An 18782-nucleotide genomic window follows, 5' to 3' on the forward strand; every position below is an offset into this window, starting at 1 on the left:
ATTATTCTCATTATATTATACTCTCTAGAAAATGTAAGTAGTAAATTTGAATTTGATGAGCCAGTCCACTATTTCCTAAACAATGTATTATCTGTGGGCTGTTCATTCACCAGGGACACTTGAAATGGCAAAATCTTTTCCTCTCTGCCAATGGTTCTGTGCACCATAGCCACAAAGAAATGTAAAAGTTACTTGTTGGCTTATTAGTCTCAATAAGTTTTAGTTGATTGAACAAACAAAGTCTCTCACAGCCAGGACTGCTGCGGCTGGAATTCCTGACATACTGTCATACCTCTCACTCGTCAATCTACACTCTCCTCCCATCTACACAGCTCTGGAAATTAAAAACAATCCAACCATGACTATCATGGCTTCAGAGGTCTATGAACTCCCAGGAATTATACGCAGATTTTTTCCTGAGGACAGTCTACACTTCCTTATTGGCTTCTCAAAGAGGGTCACTGACCAGCTTTTAGAGACATGGGCCAAGTCCGGCTACGTTTAGATTCGGTAGTAGTGTCTGTGGTTTTAGTTTGCCACGTCCTTTCCTCTTTTTTTCGTCATAGTGCCCGCTCTTTGGGAGGTAGGGGAGAGTCTTCCCCTGAAGTCTCCACTGCTGCTGGAGAACCTTCCTTTTTCATCTGGTTGCTAAATCCAGAGAATGAAATCTAGGAGATGATTGCACCGTCCCCGCCCCTCAACATGAAGGATGCCCCACTGCCCATCGGGGAGGGGAGCAGGGAGAGCTGGAGAGAGGCTGGGTCGGGGCAGGACCCAGGCGCAGATCCTCCGAGGCCAGCTGCAGCCCTACCTACCTGCCTTCCCGTCTTTCCCCTCCCTTCTTTTCTCCTTCTGTCTTTCCTTCCTTCCATATCTCTTTCCTTGCCTCTTTCCCCCTCCCACTGCTTCCTTTCTTCCTTCCACTGTGGAGGTGGAAAATTTAGCTAGGAGAAGCTGGGACTGGGACGTTCCAGGAACCAGACAGAGAGTGAGTTAAAGGCACAGAGATGAAAACGCGGTATGGGAGAGCTGGTTCTTGAGTCGGCTAAGAGGGGATGAACTCAATGGTTAATAGGATTGGCCATGGCGAATCCCTCAGCAGGGCACGCACCGCACAAAGGGCCGAGGAGCGAGGGTAGCTCGAGGTCAGGATTACAGAGACTCAGGAGCAAGAGAGGAAGGCTTAAAGAGCCAGACTGCGCAGCCAGGACTGGGGTGATGGGCGCTGTCCTGCCAGGCCAAAGAATGAAGATGTAGCCCCGCCCCCAACCTAGGGAGGAGGACCAGCCCGGTTCCTGTCCTGCCCCCGCAACCTCGCCCCGATTCCACTCCGGGAACCTCGGCGATGCTGAGCCAAGACCACTTCTGAATCAGGGATGACTTGTCTAGTGAACCTAGGGTCAGAGCCATCAGTTGGAAAGGCTGGGAGGAGCCTGGAGAAAGAGGGCGACCTTCCTTGGGATCTGTGCGCTCCCTCCTTGCCTCCCCCTCCAGCCTCCCACTTGGTAGCACCTTCCTGATCCCCTTATCTCTAAGGCGCTCAGGGAAATGCCCCGCTGCGGGAGCCTTCTGGGAAATGCTGCCCTGGCCACCCAGGAACCATGAGCCCTGCAGCCCCGGTAAGGAAGAGTTCTCTGGGACAGGAGGAAGGGCCCAGGGCAGGGTGGGCACCCTTGCCACATAGGGGACGGGACAGAAGTCTTTTAGGCCCTGACATCCTCTGGTCTCTGAATGACATCCTGTGGCTGCTGGTAGGTGAGGGTTTGCGGGGCTGAGCTATTGAAGGAAATGATCACAGTCCGAGGTGATAGATACAGAAAGTCTTCCTTTCTCCAGGTGGGCTCCCGCCAGTCCATTCTTCACTGTGCCCTAGAGGGGCCTTTCCGACCCCCTAATCACACACCTCACTCCTCATCTTGAAACTCCCACCCCCAGCTCCAGTCACTGCGTCCTAACATCCAAGCTCTCCGCCTGTCATGCAAGGCCTCTGTGCTATTTCTTTCCAAACCCTGCAGCTCTATCGCCTGACACTCCCGATGCCCTCCCCACCCCTGCGCTTTATGTTCTAGACACACGGAAATGCTGGGCACTCTTCAACATCCTGACAGTATTCATAGGGGAAATTTCGGGTCGCCTAGGAAACTGCCCCTCATCCTCCAAGGCCCCTTTCAGCCTCCTCTGGGAAGCCTTCCTGAACCCCTTGAGAAAAGTCAGGCTCATCTTTTCCATTGTTAAATCACACCTTGTGCTCCAATTGTGTGTTTCCATGTAATCTCCCTCACTAGACTGGAAGCTGGGGATGGAAAGGGGAAGCATCAAAAAAACATGCAAAACTAGGAGCTTGGCTTCTCCTTGCAACTTTACTTTTTCTTTTTTTCTAGGAACTGAGTTCAATGATTCTTAAGAAAAAGTATTTCATGATAAATGAGTGAACAAATGTCTTAATAGAAAAGTAAAATTGCAGGCGGGGCTGCTTCTGCCCAGCTCTACAGGGGTAGACTACAAGTCCCAGTACGCCTCGGGTCAGCATCTCTTCACGTCACTCCCCCTCCCTGGGGTGGGCAGGTCCGGAGGGCGGGGCCCGGGGGCAGCTGGGCTCTCAGGCGCTGCGGGAGGAGAGAAATGCCCCAGGCTCTCCGGGGCACACAAAGCGCAGGCGCAGCGGGTTGGGTGGCAGCAGCATCGAGTAGCGGCCGCTTAGGCAGCAACATCCGCAACAAGTGTAGACAAGGTGGGTGCATCAAGGGGAGGGGCTGGAAAAGGAGTCTGCACCTGACCCTCTTGTCTGATCTGTGTCAAGACCGTGGAGAGGGGAGGGAGCGGCAAGAGGAACAGACAAGGCTGGGCCTTCCAGCCCAGGTGTGCCAGCCCTTGTTACGCAGCAACAGGTGTGAGCAGGTGGGGGAGGGGCGGAGGCACCCGCTGGCAAGTGAGTCGCCCTCAGGAACAGAGGGCACCTACCTGGATTCCAGTGCAAGCTACATCATGTACATGGATGAGTCATTTGCTAACCCTCAGTTTGTCCATCTGTAAAACAGGAGTAAGGATTCCCTTCCTAACAGGGTTAGAGTGGGGACAAGGTGAGGGAGTAGAATGTGCGGTGACGTCCAAACTTAGCTGTACATTGGAATCATCTGAGGATCTTTGAAGAGTATCAGGGCTTGCCTCCTGCCCTCAGACATTCTGATTTAATTGTTACGGAGTGTGGCCTGGTATCGGAAGTTCTCAAAGCTCCTGCCGGCATAACGGTTTGAAGCCAGGACTGCTGGGTGTGAGTCTGGGCTCCATTGCTTACTAATCAAGTGGCCCCGTGCAACTGACTGGACCTTTCCGGCCCCCGTTTCCCCATCTCTGAAATAGGAATAATAAGGACTGCAGGGAGGCTTAAATGAGATAATGGATGAAAGCACTGATAGGGGGTACCCGGACAGAGTGCTCGGTCCATCACAGCTGCTGTTGAACTGCTCTTTGAAGCACTTTGTAAACAGCTCTAGTGGGGTCCAAATAGGAGGGAGCTTTTCCCTCATCCATTGCCGTGATTCTAATATTCTGCACTTCCACATTACAGAATCCCAAGGTTTCTAATACTTTAAGAGTCTCATGCTCCACCGACTGAGCTAGTCAGGCATATTCTAATGTTTCAAGAGCTCCTCCCTCCAGCCTCTGCCTGCCTCACAGACACACTTCTACAGATCTAGAAACTGAGACCAGGACAGAGGGCCAGGGAGGAGGGATATGGCCAAAGTTACCAAGCTGAGGCTGGAATCCAGGCTCCTGGTCCCCACCCCCACCCCACACCAATGGCTGCCCTGCTGACCCCACAGTGACAGTGCTCCCATTCTCTTCCTGAGCAGAGAATGGGGAGGAGGCCGAGGCCGCCTGGCCCTTGTTTACTAACCCTCCCTCAAACGTTTCCTGGGTGGCTCCCCAGGGACGGCAGGGCTGGGGGCTTCTCTCCAGGGAGCTGCTGCTGAGGCCTGTGTCTCCCGTGGCTCCTCTGACAGGTCCCGCCTGACTCCGCTCTGGAAAGTCCTTTTGAAGAAATGGCCCTGGTGAGGGGCGGCTGGCTGTGGAGACAGAGTGAGTGATCCTGGGCCCCTGGTCCTGGGGCAGGGTGAAGGAAGTGGCTTACTGGGCTTGCCACGGGGAACACTTCTCTCAAGAAACCAGGACCTTTTCATCCTTCCCTTGTTTGTCCATGCTCTTCCCTCTGCCTGAAGGTCCTTCCCATTCCCGACTACATGGTTTAAACTTCTATTTGTTCATCACGACCCATCTCAGATGGGCCCCTCTCTGAGGAGCCTTCTCTGGCTTTTCCTCTGGCCCCCACCCCTGCTCCTGCAGTAGCGTCAAGCTGGATTAGAGGCTCCCTCCTCGGTTTTCACGGCGCCTTACAGTGATCTCCTTAGAACAGAACTGTCTATCTGTGGGTATCCCCACTCCCTGACCCCAGACTGGCCCCAGTCTGCGAACTCCTCAAGGACAGGGGCTGGGTTTGACCCTCTGTGTGTCCACAGTCCCCCAACCCCGGGCTGGACACAGAACGAGGCACAGAACAAAGTGAAAAATGCCTTTGTGCTTTGGAATCCACAAAGCCCTAAGAAGCTCTCTTATGTCTTTGCCCTTCCCTGTTAAGATTTCCAGTTGCAAAATGTCAGAAGCTCGGTCTCGGGCTTCTAGACCCACCTCTGACCAGAGTCATGACCTGAGCAAGAGCTATCCTGGGGACCCCTGGGACAAGCAGCCCCATGCCCCATACCCCTGCCCATTCTCAGTTCATTTAGTTCAGCAAACACTGAGCCAGGTCTCCCTGGGTGCCAGGACCTGCGTGGGGAGCCATAGCCCCCAGAGTGGTACAGGAGGCAGATGCTACACAAATAACCATCACACAAGTCAGAGATGAGAGATAAGAGGCCGGGCACAGTGGCTCATGCCTGTAATCCCAACACTTTAGGAGGCTGAGTTGGGAGGATTGCTTGAGCCCAGGAGTTTGATACCAGCCTAGACAACATGGTGAGACCCACTGTCTCCAAGAATACCTACCTGGCTAATTAAAAATTAGCCAGGTGCAGTGGTGCGTGCCTGATGTTCCAGCTATTTGGGAGGCTGAGATGGGAGGATCACTTGAGCCCAGGAGGTTAAGGCTGCAGTGAGCCATGCCTGTGCCCCTGCACTCCAGCCTGAGTGACAGAGCAAGACCCTGTCTCAAAGACAGAGAGAGAGAAGATGCAGGCTTAAGGTAGGGAGAGGTCTTTGCCCTTGAAGAGACCTGGGGCTTGGCCTTAGAAGCTTCCAAGTAATGGGCCCAGTCACTCATTTCCCTGTTCAGCACGTGTATCGAGCTTCTGCTATGCATCAGACCCAATGGGAGGCAGGAGGTGAACAAGACAGAAAGAGGTCCTGCCCTCATTTCAGGGGGTAGACAAGAAAAAGGTGGTTGTAACACTAGGGACTGAGGCTGAGGGGACTTGGGAGTCTGTCTGGGGCTTCTATTCCCAGCAGGCTCTGGGATCAGCCTGCCTAGTGCATCTGGAATATCGTACAGGCTCCATCCTCCGCCGCTGGAAGCGGAACTGGTTTGCCCTGTGGCTGGACGGGACCCTGGGATACTACCACGATGAGACAGCGCAGGACGAGGAGGACCGTGTGCTCATCCACTTCAATGTCCGTGACATAAAGATCGGCCCAGAGTGCCATGGTGAGCAGAAGCCCCTTCCTCTGTGGCACCGTGACTGTGGGCAGAGCCTCCCGCTGTCTCCGAGAACACTTGCTGTTGGAAGTCTTTTTGCAGCTTTCAGAGGCATTTCACAGACATTGCTTCTGAGCCTCTGTCAACTCCAATTCAGTTTGGTGTGAGTTAAGAAATAGGTCCTTGGCTGTGTGTGGTGGCGCATGCCTGTAATTTCAGCACTTTGGGTGGCTGAAGCGGGCGGATCACTTGAGGTCAGGAGTTCTAGATCAGCCCGGCCAACATAGCGAGACCCTGTCTCTTAAAAAAAAAAAAATTGGTGAGATGCGGTCACATATGGCTACTGGGGAGGCCGAGGCAGGAGAATTGCTTGAGCCCAGGAATTCAAGGCTGCAGTAAGCTATGATCCCAGTACTTTGAGAGGCATGTAGATTACTTGAGTCTAGAGTTCAAGACCAGCCTGGGCAACATGGCAAAACCCCGTCTCTACCAAAACAAAAACAAACAAAAATTAGCCGGGCATGGTAGTGTGTACCTGTAGTCCCAGCTACTTAAGAGGCTCAGGTGGGAGGATTGCTTGAGCCTGGGAGGCAGAGGTTGCAGTGAGTGTTCATGGCACTGCACTACAGCCTGGGGGACAGAGCTAGACCCTGTCTCAAAAAAAAAAAAAAAAAGAAAAAGAAAAATCAGTCCTTTAGTGCCTTTCTCCTCTGTGCTGTCTCAGAGGTGAGCCAGGCACAGTTCCTGCCCTCCAGGCGCTCGGTACTGGATGAAGACGAAATGAAATTAGGAGGCCCAGAGAAGCGAAGTGGCCCAGAGTCACAGCAAATCTCCACATTCCTCCACCAAGGCCCAGGCCACAGTTCTAACAGGGTAACTGGGAGGTGTGCTGAGGGAAGCCTCAGCATGGAAAGGTTGGAAAGGTTGGAAACGTAGAGTGGAATCCCTCAGAGAGTATATGGGATCAGAGGAGGTTGGCAGTGGCCAGTAAACAGAGCCCAGAGAAGTCAATTCCTATTCCTGTCCCTGCTTTACTGGGGGGACCTGGGGCTTGTGCCTGTGGAAACCCATATATGTGTGTCTGCTTCCAGATGTGCAGCCCCCAGAGGGCCGGAGCCGAGATGGCCTGCTGACTGTGAACCTACGGGAAGGCGGCCGCCTGCACCTCTGTGCGGAGACCAAGGATGATGCCCTGTGAGTCACTCCCAGGAGAGGATGGGGTGGAATCTCGGGGAAAGTTACCATGTGCCCCCTTCTCATTGGGCCTTCTGGTTCTCTGACCGTAGGAAGAGGGCACTAAGGCCAGTCAGCAAGGGAGTCTTATTGGAGGCGGGTGGAGTGGATTTGAAGGGCTTGTGGTGACTGGCATGGCACACAGTGAACTCCTCATGTGGTCTACAGTGAACTCAGGATTGCTGAGGGGGAGGTGTGCACACCTGCCTCAGGTATCTGGTTCCTGGTCTTTAGCGGCCTCTGAGGTGAGCCCTCACCTGAGGGTGATGCAAAGCAGCAGAGCAGCCTAGTGGCACCCTTGCTCCCTTCTTAGAAGATGCCCTGGTGGGGGACTCTGATCTGAGGGGTAGCCCTGGACCTGCCTACAAAGGCAGTCAGCTGCGTCCCAGGCAGGGGCACCCCAATGTCAGATGCATATCCACGTGGCCAGCCTGGGTGTGTCCTTCTCAGGCACCATCTGCTGGCTCACATTCCGTCCCTTCCTACCCTCTGGCTAAGGGGTACATGGCCTTTGCGCTGGAGGAGAGTGAAAGAGATGGGTGTGTGGGAGTGGGGGAAGCTGAGCTCCAGGCAGACAGCACAGAGCCGCCTTGTCCAACCCAGCCAGGTGCCATGGCAACCAACAAAGGCCCCATTGTCCCGTGTCTGCTGGGCCTTCCTGAGGCTCTGGGGTCAGAGCTTTGGGGAAGTGTTTTGTTTGTAGATTTGGGATGTGGAGGGGGACTGGGCTACAACACCCACCCAAGAGTGTCAGAATCTGACATCCCCTGAGAGACCACCCAAGCCCAACCGTCCACTGTATAGATGAGGAAACTGGAACTTCTAGAGGGGACGAGAAGAATGAATTAGCCTAACTTAGTGCTCCATCCATGTGACTGGGGCAGGGGAGGGGTCACTTTTGTCTTCCTGAGGGAGACAAGAGATCTCTCCTTTCATGAGAGACTTGGGCTTGAGGCTGGGTTGGAGAGGAAAGTCTAAAATGTGGGGGCCCAATTCACCCACCCCCAAACTCCCTCCTCATGGTCTGGTGGGATTTGCTTTGCAGAGCATGGAAGACAGCACTGCTGGAGGCAAACTCCACCCCGGTGAGTCTCCCGTTCTCTCCCCCTTTCCCCACCACCTCCATGTGCCATGGAATCATGAGTGACTCAGACTCGGTCTCCACCTGCCAGAAGTTCTCAGTCTTATGTGGATAGGTTTCTGCAAACTCTGATGCCTGAGTCCCAAGTGTTCGGGGAAAGGATAAGGGAGAGCCAACTGGTGCTCAGAGGAGAGAGAGAAGCCTCCATGGAGATTTGCTGGAGGGAGTGGCACATGAGCTGGGGAGAAGGAACTGTCTTTTATCGAGCAACTATTATGTGCCAGGTGTGGTGCAGGTATCATTCCAGCTGCTCCTCACAACAGTCCTGTGAAGTTGGGGTTATTGTTCTCTCTCTGCAGATGATAAGACTGAAGCTCATTCATCCGCACAACAAATATTTACTGAGCTGCTACTATGGGCCAGGTGGTGTGCCAAGTGCCAGGGATCAGAGGTGAACCAAGGAGATATGGGCTCTGCCCACCTGGACTCAGCCTAATGAGAAGCCAGACATGGAACAACTAATTAATTATTCCATTTCAATAGTAATAACAGCTCTGACAGAGATTTGCAGTGTCTGGCCCTTTCATCCAGGTGGTAGTTCAGGCAAGGCTTAAACCGAGGACTGAAGGATAAACAGAAATTGACTGGGTGAAAGGTGTGGGGATCGGGTAAAGGGCACGGCATTCCAGGCAGAGGGATCAGCATGTGCCAAGGCTCTGAGAGAGGTTAAGACATTTGGCAAGTTGAGGAACAGAAGGACAGCTGGGGTGGCTGGTGCTTAGGGAGTGAGTGGGTAAGGAGGGAAGGAGGGTTGGCACGACCAGGTCTTGTGGGCTGTATGAAGGATGTTGGTTTCTGCTAAGAGCACCAGGGAGCCATGACAAGTTTTTGAACAGAGGGATGGCATGATCAGATCAGGTTCAATTTATATTTTTAAAAAGATAATTGTTGTAACGTTGGGGCATGTAAAAAAAAGGGGGTAGTCTGTCAGTTTATGAAATTTTGTTGTAGAAAAAAGGAAAAAAAAAAAGATAGTCTGGCTGGTAGGTAGGGAATGGATTATAGAGGGTAACTGCAGACACCCAGAGGCCACTTAGGAGGCTGGGACAGTGTCCGGGCAACAGACTGGAGATCTGGATTAAGGCCTTGTTGGCCGAGACAGGCTGATGAGTACAGGACATATTTAGGAGATGGAGTCAACAGAGCTTGTGACTGATGGAAGTGGCGGTTTGAAGAGCCGCCCAAAGCCCAGCTTGGCCTCCACCCCCATCTGCCTGACTCCAGAATCTGTGCTTGCTCTTTCTCTGTATGGCACAATGGAGCCCCCTCTCACCTATAGAGAAAGTCCGTTGGGAAGTAGCAGGGGAGACCTGGATGCATTTAGAAACCTCCTCAGGCATCCACGTCCTGAGTGCCAGGCATCATGCTAAGCCCCTGGCAGCAGTGACATCATTTCATCTTCCAACAACCCTGGCAGGGCAGCTGGGTGGGGGTTGGTATTATTAGTCCCATTTTACAGATAAGGAAGCCGAGGTTCAGAGAGGGGAGGTGACTTGTCCAAAGCTTATACTCTTAAGTCAGTGGAAAAGCCTACCATGGAACCTAGGTCAGTGAGATTTTGAGAGGAGGGCGTTATCTGCAGAAGTAGCTGCATGAGCAGAGACAGAGAAGTGATGTGTGCACATGTGTGTGTGCACAAGTGCTTATGCACATATGCATGCGTCTAAGGGCCCAGAGTCTGCCTGGCTGGAGAGCAATTCATGAGGCGAATGAAACAGGAGAGATGACCTCTGAGGTCATCGGGGCCAGCTCATGATGGGCCTCAAAGTCCAGTTGGAAGAAATGGACTTTCCCTGAGGCCTGTAGGGAGCAATAAAGGGCATTCAGCAGCGAGGGCTGTGGTCAGATTTTGGGGAGCAGACTCAGGCTTCCAAGTGGCGGGTGAATTGGAGAAAGCTGGGAGTAAGGAGGCTACAGCAGTAGTCTGCAGGGTGGAGGGACCCAGGTCAGGCTACCCTGGCTCTGAGCTCCAAAGCCTCTTTATGTGGGGCAAGTCAGTTCCACCAAAGAGAGGCGGAGGGAAGGAGGCAAGGGTGACTGTCTGCACTCTGTGACTCTATGAAGCGGCCTCGTCCTTCTCTGCCTGTCCATCTCCTGTGGCTCTGCTGACCCTTCTCTCTGCCCTGGCCTCTATTCTACCTCCCACTACTCCACATATACACGTCCTTCTGTGCCCGGGCTTACTAGAGTCGGGGTGTATTTGTGCCTGTGTCTACCTATCTTTGTGTGTTCACCTCTGTTTATGGGCTTCTCTCTGTAGCCTGTGTGGGAATGACCTGCCCTTTGTCCTCCGACATGCTGGAGTTCATACCTCACTCCAGGTGGAGGCTCCAGGAGCCCCTAACACCAGCTTTACTGGGAACACAGGGCCTGGGGGCACAGCTAGGGACGAGGCTGGGGTGAAGCGGACCAGGTGGGCTAGAGGACAGAAGGGAGTCGCCCTGTCCTCCCTGGAGACTGGGAACCCCAGCAGGATGAAATAGGGGAGGGTGGGCTAATTCTGGAAAGAGACTACTTGTCCTTCTTTTCTGCGTAACTTTGGCAGTCATCAGCATTCTCTGAGCCTCCCCCGTTACCATGAGCTGAGGAGAAAGAGGATGCTCCCTGCCACAGCCCAGCTGGCGGAGGGCTCTGGTAGGGTCTGGAAAGAGCTCTTGAGTCTCTTTAGGTGTAGAGGGCCTCTGACACCCCCTCCCTCCCTCCTCCTTCTTGGGTTTCTGTGGCTTGAGCAGGCCCCAGCTGGAGCCACCGTCCCTCCCAGGAGCCGCCGGGTTTGCTCCAAGGTCAGGTGTGTGACCCGCTCGTGGAGCCCCTGTAAGGTTGAGAGGCGGATCTGGGTAAGTGCTGGCTCGGCCCTCCCTGCCTCCATACTGGCCACCAGGATGAGCCTCCAAAACCAGGCCCAGTCCATCCCTTCCCTGTGACAAACATTCCATGGCTCCCTATCACCCACAGGACACAAACCAGCTGCTCTGCTGTACCCTCTGTCCCCAGCCACACCAGACCTTTTCCCTCTGCCAGCCTTCGCACATGCTGTTCCCTCTGCTGACAAGACCTCAGTTTCCTCATTCACCTGACAAACTGATGCTCATCCTGTAAGGCCCACCTCAAAGGCTGCCTGCCACCTACTCAGTGGGGACTTCCTAGACCACTAGGCATCGTCATTCCCTCCCTCAGCCTAGCGGCACCAAGGCTTAGTGCTTTCTTCATTCTGCCTGGTTTCAGAGCTGGTTTATTCCTGTCTGTGTAGTCTTCCATGAGGCCTAGAACTTCCTCCAAGGCAAGAATGAGGCCTGATTGCGCTGCCTCTATGGAACTTGGCACAAGGCTAGGTAAATGGCACATGCTCAATTAGTGCTCGATGATGGGGAGTCTATGCTGACCTTTCTTACACAGTGGGGCTCAGGGAATGTTCACTGAGTGAGCAAAGGAAGGAAGGAGGGAGTGAAAAACTTCCTTTATAGCAATACTACTACATAGTCTAATTTAGTCTAGGTCTGTCTCCCCTCACCCTCAATGTTTCTTGAAGGCAGGATCTGGCCTGAATCTTTTCTCTGTCCCCAGAACTCAGCACAGGGCCTGGCATGGGGTGGGTGGCAGGAGGGGGCTTGAGTGAGAGTACCTGTGATCTTATAGTCAACTCTGAGCTCATCTTACACAGTGGTGCTCAGTGTGGCTATGTATCAGGATTGTTTAGGAACTTACAAGCACTAATAACAAGTATTCATGTTCCACCTCTGGATGTTTTAATCTGGCATGGGGCCTAGGCCTAGGAAACCTGTAGTTTAAACCTGTCTCCTGGCCAGGCCTGGTGGCTGACACCTATAATCCCAGAACTTTGGGAGGCTGAGGCGGGCAGGTTGCAAGGTCAGGAGTTCAAGACCTGCCTAGCCAACATGGTGAAACCCCATCTCTACTAAAAGTACAAAAATTAGCAAGACATGGTGTAATCTCAGATACTCAGGAGGCTGAGGCAGGAGAATGGCTTGAACTCAGGAGGCGGACGTGGTTGCAGTGAACCAAGATCACCCCACTGCACTCCAGCCTGGGCAACAGAGTAAGACTCCATCTCAAAAAAAAAAATTGTCTCCTGATGACTCTGATGTGCAGAATCACTAAGCCTAGAAGTGCCTGGGCCACCAAATTGTATAGATGTGGCACTGTTAGATCCTCAGTGGCTTGGAGAGGTTACCTAACTTGATCAGGGTCACTCAACTCATCAATGGCAGGTCTGGGACTCCCAGCCCATCGTTCTGAGGTATTTTCCATGCCCAAACTAGGATGCAAGTTTGTTTAAAGTGGGGATGTCAAAAACTAGGATTTAACAGACTGTAAACCTAATAACACAACAGCTCAGCTAAGGGGAGTCATTTGCATGTGACCCCCTGATTGGTCAACACTGGTTGTACCCACAAAGTAGCTGGGCCTCTGGAGAGGGAGAGGCAGGTTCAAACCCTCAGGTTCTGCCCATGGGTCTCTGGGCTGTCCCTATTTGTTGCCAGGTGACTTATAGGAGTTTACTTCTGGGCCTCCCAGACGTGGAGAGTAAAAACAGGTGCCCTCGAGGGATATGGGGTGCTCCACCCTCTCCAGGGCCTCCCAAGGCCACTGGCTCACTGTGTAGCAGCAGGGCAAGGTGGAGGCTGTGGACCTCAACTTCCCCACCAATAAAATTGGACCTGAGAGCTTAGATCCCTCCAACCCCTTTTGGGCCTGGAGCCTGGATCTTGGCACTGCCTACCAGAAATCCCTATTGGATCACTGATGGGGAGGGAGCACCGTAGAGTTCACTGACTTACGACATTGCTTGTCTGAGCCTCTTGCATTGTCTTGGGACTATATGTTTTCCCTGACTTGAAACTGAACTCAGAGTTGGGCAACCTTAGTTCCAGTCTGGCCCTGTATTTGATTCACTGGAATGAATTCAATAAACATTTATTAGGTACCTGCCATGTTCCAGTCAGATCTGATTAGACCCAGTCTCTGCCCTCAAAGGCATCTCCAAGTCTGATGGGAGAGACACAGGGAAACAACGTGAAGACAGCATGATCGGTGCTGTGATGCAGGGACATCCAAGGGCTGTGAGTGTCCAGATGGGACCCCAACAGAACCTGAGGTTCAGGGAGAGTGATGCTTGAGTTGAGTCTGAAAGACAGGTTGAATGAGGTGAGAAGCATATCCCTAGCAAAGGAAAATGGCATGGAGATTTGAAATCACAAGGTGTGCTTGGAGACCTTCCCCTTACCACCAAACTTCTTGAAAGAGATGTCATGACATGGGGATTGCATCCTTCACCTCTCAGCCTTTCTTCAACCCTCCATAGCTTGGCTTTTCCTACTCAGCAACTCCTCTGAAAAGTTTTTTCAAGGTCACTCACAACTTCCAAGTTGCTAAAACCAGTGGCCTATTATCTTGGAATTGGCCAAAAGAATGGGCAGAAGAACACATTTAGAAGATAAAATCACGAGACCTGGTGGCTGATGTGTGGAAAGCAGATGTGTGAAGACAAGGGCAACAACCTGCTTTCTTTCCTTCTTTCTTTTTCTTTCTTTCTTTCTTTTTTTGAGACAGGATCTCCCTCTGTTGCCCAGGCTGGAGTGCAGTGGTGCAAACACTGCTCACTGCAGCCTCGATCTCCTGGGCTCAAGTGATCCTTCTGCCTCAGTTTCCCAAATAGCTGGGCCCACGGGCATGCATCACCACACTCAGCTAATTTTTTAATTTTTTGTAGAGACAGGTTCTTGCCATGTTGCCCAGACTGGTCTTGAACTCCTGCATTCAAGCAATCCTCCCGCCTCAGCCTCCCAAAGTGCTGGGATTACAGGCATAAGCCGCTGTGCCTAGCCTTTCTTGATTTGAGTGCATGGTGATGGCATGTACTGAGAGAAGCATTTATGGGGCTGGGTACTTTGGGAGGCCAAGGCGGGCAGATCACCTGAGGTCAGGAGTTCAAGACCAGCCTGGCGAACATGGTGAAACCCTGTCTCTACTAAAAATACAGAAAAATTAGCCAGGCGTGGTGGCAGGAACCTGTAATCTCAGTTACCTGGGAGGCTGAGGCAGGAGAATCGCTTGAACCCGGGAGGCGGAGGTTGCAGTGAGCTGATACCATGCCATTGCACTCCAGCCTGGACAACAAGAATGAAACTCTGTCTCAAAAAAAAAAAAAAGATTTATGGGAAAAGCAACAGTTTTAGCAGATGGAGAAATGTTGCAATCATCTTGAGATGAGTGGAGTTTGAGACACCTGGACTTCTAAGGGGAGCTGGACTGTTCAGGTGTGAATCCCAGTTAGAGAGAGATACAGGGTGGAATGGGGCTAAGAGGAAAGATCCAGAAGAGAAGGGGATCCTGACCCCTCTCCAGGTCTGCTCCCCCATGGGTAAAATGAGGGGTTTGGAGTTTCCATTTAATTCAGCACATAGTTCTTGGTTCCTGGTATGCACTTGGCCCTGCTGGTGACACAAACAAATCAGAGTCCTTGTCTACAAGCAGCTCACATTTGGGCTGCAAGAAAGGCCAGGAGAAAGGATAGCAACAAGAGGCACAAGCAAGATCCACAGAATTCAGGGAAAAAAAAAATTCTTCCTGAGACCAGGAGAGCTTCCTGGAGTGGAGTGGGTGACCGTTGAGCTAGGCTTTGAAGGGTTGGCAGAAATCTAATGGGAGAGAGGGGAGGGCAGGGAATGCATTCCAGAGAGAACACTGACCATTCTCTGAGCCTCAGTCCCCAACCCTATGGTCATGTGGAGCTAATACCTGCTTTAAGGATTAGAGGTGGTGTAACACACGTGATCACTTCCTTCAGGACCTGGTACATAGTAGGTGCTCAATAATCGTTACAGCCTAGTGCAGCCTAACAATTTTGGGTCAATGATGGACCACATATACAAAGGTGGTTCCATAAGATTATAATGGAGCTGAAAATTTCCTATCACCTAGTGATGTTGTAGCCATGATAATGTCGTAGGGCAATGCATTACATTTTCTACATTTATATATGATTAGTTAGATAACAAATACCATTGTGTTACAATTGCCTACAGTATTCAGGGCAGTAGCCTGCTGAACAGGTTTGTTGGCTTGGAGCAATAGGATATACCATATACTCTAGGTGTGTGCCACCTAGGTTTGTTTGTAAGTACACTCTATGATATTCACATAACTAAAATTGCCTAAGGACGCATTTCTCAGACTGTATCCCTGTTGTTTAAAAGACGCATAACTGTATTTTAGTTACTTCTCATCCCTATCCTTCCTTTCCCTTCCTTCCTCCCCAACCCCTGTTTATTTCCTGGGCCTGGGGCTTGGCCATGTTCCCCTCCTTGTGACTAGTAGAGCTGGGTCTTTCAAGTGGCATTATTGTAGAGCTGCTAGCAAATATTAGACTACCTATAAGGAGAAATTGGGAGCCATAGAGAATTTTTTGAGCTAGGTGGGAGGCCAGAGTTGGAGAATGGGTGTCACTGGGAGCTGGATGTAGGGCAGAAGTTTTAGAGGACCGTGGACCTTGTGGGGAGGGCAGGGCCTTTCTCCAAGAGCTTGCTAGTGGCTGGAGGCCCATTTCTAAACTTGGGGAGGTGGCTCCATGGATCCCAGAGAGGCCTGTGCCAGGCGTGGGGGTAGGGGACCAAATCCGGGCCAGGGAGTTCCTGGGCACCTGACATGGTTGGATTCCCCAGGTGCGCGTCTACAGCCCGTACCAAGACTACTACGAGGTGGTGCCCCCCAATGCACACGAGGCCACGTATGTCCGCAGCTACTACGGACCGCCCTACGCAGGTAAGTCTCCAGCGTGCCCCGGGGCTTGCCTCGATCCAGCACCGATTCAGCGCCAGGCCCAGCCCACGGTCCGTAAGTCCGGACCAGGCTTCATCCTTTTAGCGTGCACGGATTTTCCCAGGCAGAACTCTCCGCAAGCCCCTCTCCATCCTGAGACTGGGAGAGCTCTGGAACCAGCGTTCGTCTCGAGCTGACCTCACCCTTCTGGGATGGCTCCTCAGCCCTGCGGTCGGCAATACCCATTCCTGAGCCGGTAGCGGCCCCTGGTGGCTACTGCGGGAATGCTGCCTCCTCCCCGCTCTGGGGCCTGGCGGTTGGGAATGCCCATCGTTAGGCGCCTGGTGGTTGTGCTTAGCGATCTCAGGGTTTCCTCGCTGCTCCGCCCTAGCCTGCCGTAGCGGACCCGTAGGTTCCGGGACATCCGTAGCCGATCCAAGGCCTGGGAGCCGTAGGGTGGAGCTCTTCCCGCGTCTAGATCTGTTCTTTGACTGGGGAGCAGGAGAGTGGGTTCGGCGCCTTACACTGGGTTGGGCTGGAGTGATGCAGGAAGGGTACGAAGATCACTCTACTCCCTCCTAAGTCGCTGATCCTCATGGGCTGTCTCCCTCTGCAGGCCCTGGCGTGACGCACGTGATAGTGCGGGAGGATCCCTGCTACAGCGCCGGCGCCCCTCTGGCCATGGGCATGCTTGCGGGAGCCGCCACTGGGGCGGCGCTGGGCTCGCTCATGTGGTCGCCCTGCTGGTTCTGAGCCCTGGGACTCGGAGCACTGACCCCTGCGCTTGGATTGCTAGACTCCTCTTCCTCCTGGACCCCATCCTCTACCATCCAAGCCCTGTCCCACTTTGGCCCTATCCTCTCCATTAGCTCCTTCCGGGTTTGGACCATTCCCCCCACTCCCTACCCTTAATCCCCACATGGGAAGAAGCTATCATCACAGGTACAAACATCGCTTGAAGTCTTCACATCTACCACTAGACACCCCCAAAATCTGTTATAGACATTTATGGATACATTTCCTCTAAACACAACAGGGCACAGCAAATACGACTTCATTTGGCTTCGAGTTCCCCAGGCGCTGTAGACACAACATGAATCGGGCTCTCTGCTCTCTCCTTAGGGAGCTCGAGTCCTGGTGGGGAGAACAGGAGTAAACAAGGACTTGACAAAGCTGAAGAGTTATCAGTCCTTTGACAAGGACAGGTGGGGCAGGGAGCAAGACAGGTAGGCTGGAAGAACAGTTATTGGCAAGTATGCAGAGCCGTGAACGTCATGGCATGTCCAAGGAATTAAATGGGAGTTCATTTGGGCTGGGGTGGAGGCTGGGATCAGACCGTGGTGGGCCTTCAAGCTAAGGAGCTTCCTAGGTGAAAGGGGAGATGTGAGCCTTCTCTGGAGGGAAGTTTCATGATTGCATCTATAATGAATATATTGCCTGTTTTGTGAATACTGACACATGTCCATACCTAAAACACTCCTGAGTCAAGTCCCATCCTTCCCACAAACAGCTTCCTGGCTGGTACCCATGATAACAATTGAGCTGAACCTGGGGACCCCTGGTTGGGGAACAGGTGAGTTCTATTTGAGACTTCCAGCCCTAGAAAGCTGCCTCCGTCCAGAAATGCCTCTCACACCAGGAGCTCGGCCCTCTCTTTGTAGCTGTGACTGTCACCCTCTCAGGCTTTGTCTCATCCTTCATTCTGAATAAGATGGCAGTGTTCTCCTCTGGGGCCTGATCCACCTCTACACCAGCCCAGGAAGCCCCATCTGTGCCTGCCCTCAGGTGGTCCACCAGTCTCCCCCTTTGGTTCCCTTCCAGTCTCTTCCCCCTTTCTATCCCAATCACCAATAGAAATGCTAACATCCCTGCCTGGTAGCCAGACTAGCCCACTAAAGCTCCCCTGTAAATGGGGGCTCCATTAGTTCTGCTGCCGAGACTAATAAAGATTTGGTTGGCTCTAGCAGTAACTGTGGCTTGCTTTGTTCCCCCAGAAGGCCCTGTTTCCCTCTCCATGATCCAGCAGCTACTAGTGCCTTCACTGGTCTAGTGAAAAAGAGTGTGGATTCTGAGATCAGTTGGAACTGGTGACAGCATATTAGCTGAGTCATTTGGGGCAAGTCACTTAACCTTTCTGGATTTTGTTTTCCCTACACTTAAGGTAGCTGGTTGAAGTTGACCATTCCTGAGGGCTCAAGAGGAGGGACTGCCTTGGAGTCTCTGTTGTCTGAGCTGATGGATGATCCAAGCCAGGTCCTGCCTGCTTTCTGAGAATCCTGTTCATGTTGGAGTCTTTTCCAGTAGGTTCCCATCCTTCTAGAGTTGAATCAATGAATTGTTCTCATAGAAAACCAGGTGGTCAGGAAAGGAAACACCATCATCCTGCATCAGGCTTCTTGGGGCTGTCAGATAGAAACTCCCTGTTCAAACTGATTTAAGCCAAAGGGAAAAGGTTAAGCCACATAACTGAGAAGTCCAAGAGCTGTGTGATCCAGGGGCTCAAAGAGTGTCACTTAGACTTTGCTTTGTTTCCATCTTTACACCTGCAGGGCTGGCTCATTTGGAAGCTGCAGTGATGTTCAGCAGCTCCAGGCTAATGCCCTCCTGAGTTCAAGTCCAACCAAGAGAATTTCTCTTCCTCTAACAGTATGACTGAAAGTCCTGGGCCTGGTAGACATCAGTCTAAATTGGGTCCTGTGGCCATCCCTGCATCAACCCCAGTGGTCTGGAAACGGATGGTCTAAAATAACAGGGCTTACAGCAGGGGTGGGATGGTGTCCCAGAGGAAATTCAGGGCACTGTTCCCAGAAGTAGGATGAATAGATGAAAGCTGGTTGGCAAAAATATCAGGTATTCACCTCAGCCACAGTTCCAGAGACACCAACTTAGAGGTGAGACATGTATAAAAACAGCAATGATTGAATGAAGTTACAGAGGAAC

General features: G+C 52.4%; 1 protein-coding gene across 7 annotated transcripts, besides 7 other annotated features; it reads left to right on the plus strand.

Annotated features, from left to right (window-relative positions):
* Positions 1139-2057: an enhancer, noted in NCBI's record as "H3K27ac-H3K4me1 hESC enhancer chr11:73357191-73358109 (GRCh37/hg19 assembly coordinates)". NCBI's record gives its function as "activates a minimal SCP1, AML or CMV promoter by ChIP-STARR-seq in primed H9 embryonic stem cells {active_cell/tissue: H9 hESC(primed)}" and the evidence as "EXISTENCE:reporter gene assay evidence [ECO:0000049][PMID:30033119]".
* PLEKHB1 (pleckstrin homology domain containing B1) lies at positions 1574-17812 on the plus strand. 7 transcript variants are annotated; one of them, NM_021200.3, is made up of 8 exons: positions 1574-1619; positions 4005-4080; positions 5546-5698; positions 6781-6883; positions 7968-8007; positions 10796-10900; positions 15746-15845; positions 16459-17812. In NM_021200.3, the coding sequence occupies exons 1-8, from the start codon at positions 1602-1604 to the stop codon at positions 16593-16595; spliced, it is 732 nt and encodes a 243-aa protein (NP_067023.1). In that variant the 5' UTR covers positions 1574-1601; the 3' UTR covers positions 16596-17812. The 7 variants fall into 7 exon arrangements, with proteins under 7 accessions (NP_067023.1, NP_001123505.1, NP_001123506.1 ...); NM_001130034.2 differs by lacking the exon at positions 1574-1619 and adding an exon at positions 2647-2731; XM_011545192.3 differs by lacking the exon at positions 1574-1619 and adding an exon at positions 3247-3271.
* Positions 2433-2652: a silencer, noted in NCBI's record as "silent region_3746". NCBI's record gives its function as "represses an Ori minimal core promoter by ATAC-STARR-seq in GM12878 lymphoblastoid cells {active_cell/tissue: GM12878}" and the evidence as "EXISTENCE:reporter gene assay evidence [ECO:0000049][PMID:35858748]".
* Positions 2693-2852: an enhancer, noted in NCBI's record as "active region_5239". NCBI's record gives its function as "activates an Ori minimal core promoter by ATAC-STARR-seq in GM12878 lymphoblastoid cells {active_cell/tissue: GM12878}" and the evidence as "EXISTENCE:reporter gene assay evidence [ECO:0000049][PMID:35858748]".
* Positions 15274-16118: an enhancer, noted in NCBI's record as "H3K4me1 hESC enhancer chr11:73371326-73372170 (GRCh37/hg19 assembly coordinates)". NCBI's record gives its function as "activates a minimal SCP1, AML or CMV promoter by ChIP-STARR-seq in naive H9 embryonic stem cells {active_cell/tissue: H9 hESC(naive)}" and the evidence as "EXISTENCE:reporter gene assay evidence [ECO:0000049][PMID:30033119]".
* Positions 15274-16961: a biological region, named in NCBI's record as "H3K4me1 hESC enhancers GRCh37_chr11:73371326-73372170 and GRCh37_chr11:73372171-73373013".
* Positions 16024-16195: a silencer, noted in NCBI's record as "fragment chr11:73372076-73372247 (GRCh37/hg19 assembly coordinates)". NCBI's record gives its function as "represses an EF-1alpha promoter that drives an FKBP-Casp9 reporter gene in an ReSE screen in phorbol 12-myristate 13-acetate-treated (for megakaryocytic differentiation) K562 erythroleukemia cells {active_cell/tissue: K562(+PMA)}" and the evidence as "EXISTENCE:reporter gene assay evidence [ECO:0000049][PMID:32094911]".
* Positions 16119-16961: an enhancer, noted in NCBI's record as "H3K4me1 hESC enhancer chr11:73372171-73373013 (GRCh37/hg19 assembly coordinates)". NCBI's record gives its function as "activates a minimal SCP1, AML or CMV promoter by ChIP-STARR-seq in naive H9 embryonic stem cells {active_cell/tissue: H9 hESC(naive)}" and the evidence as "EXISTENCE:reporter gene assay evidence [ECO:0000049][PMID:30033119]".
* Positions 17813-18782: the final 970 nt, after the last annotated feature.

Source organism: Homo sapiens, chromosome 11 (genome assembly GCF_000001405.40).
Source record: "Homo sapiens chromosome 11, GRCh38.p14 Primary Assembly".
Classification (NCBI taxonomy): Eukaryota; Metazoa; Chordata; class Mammalia; order Primates; family Hominidae; genus Homo; species Homo sapiens.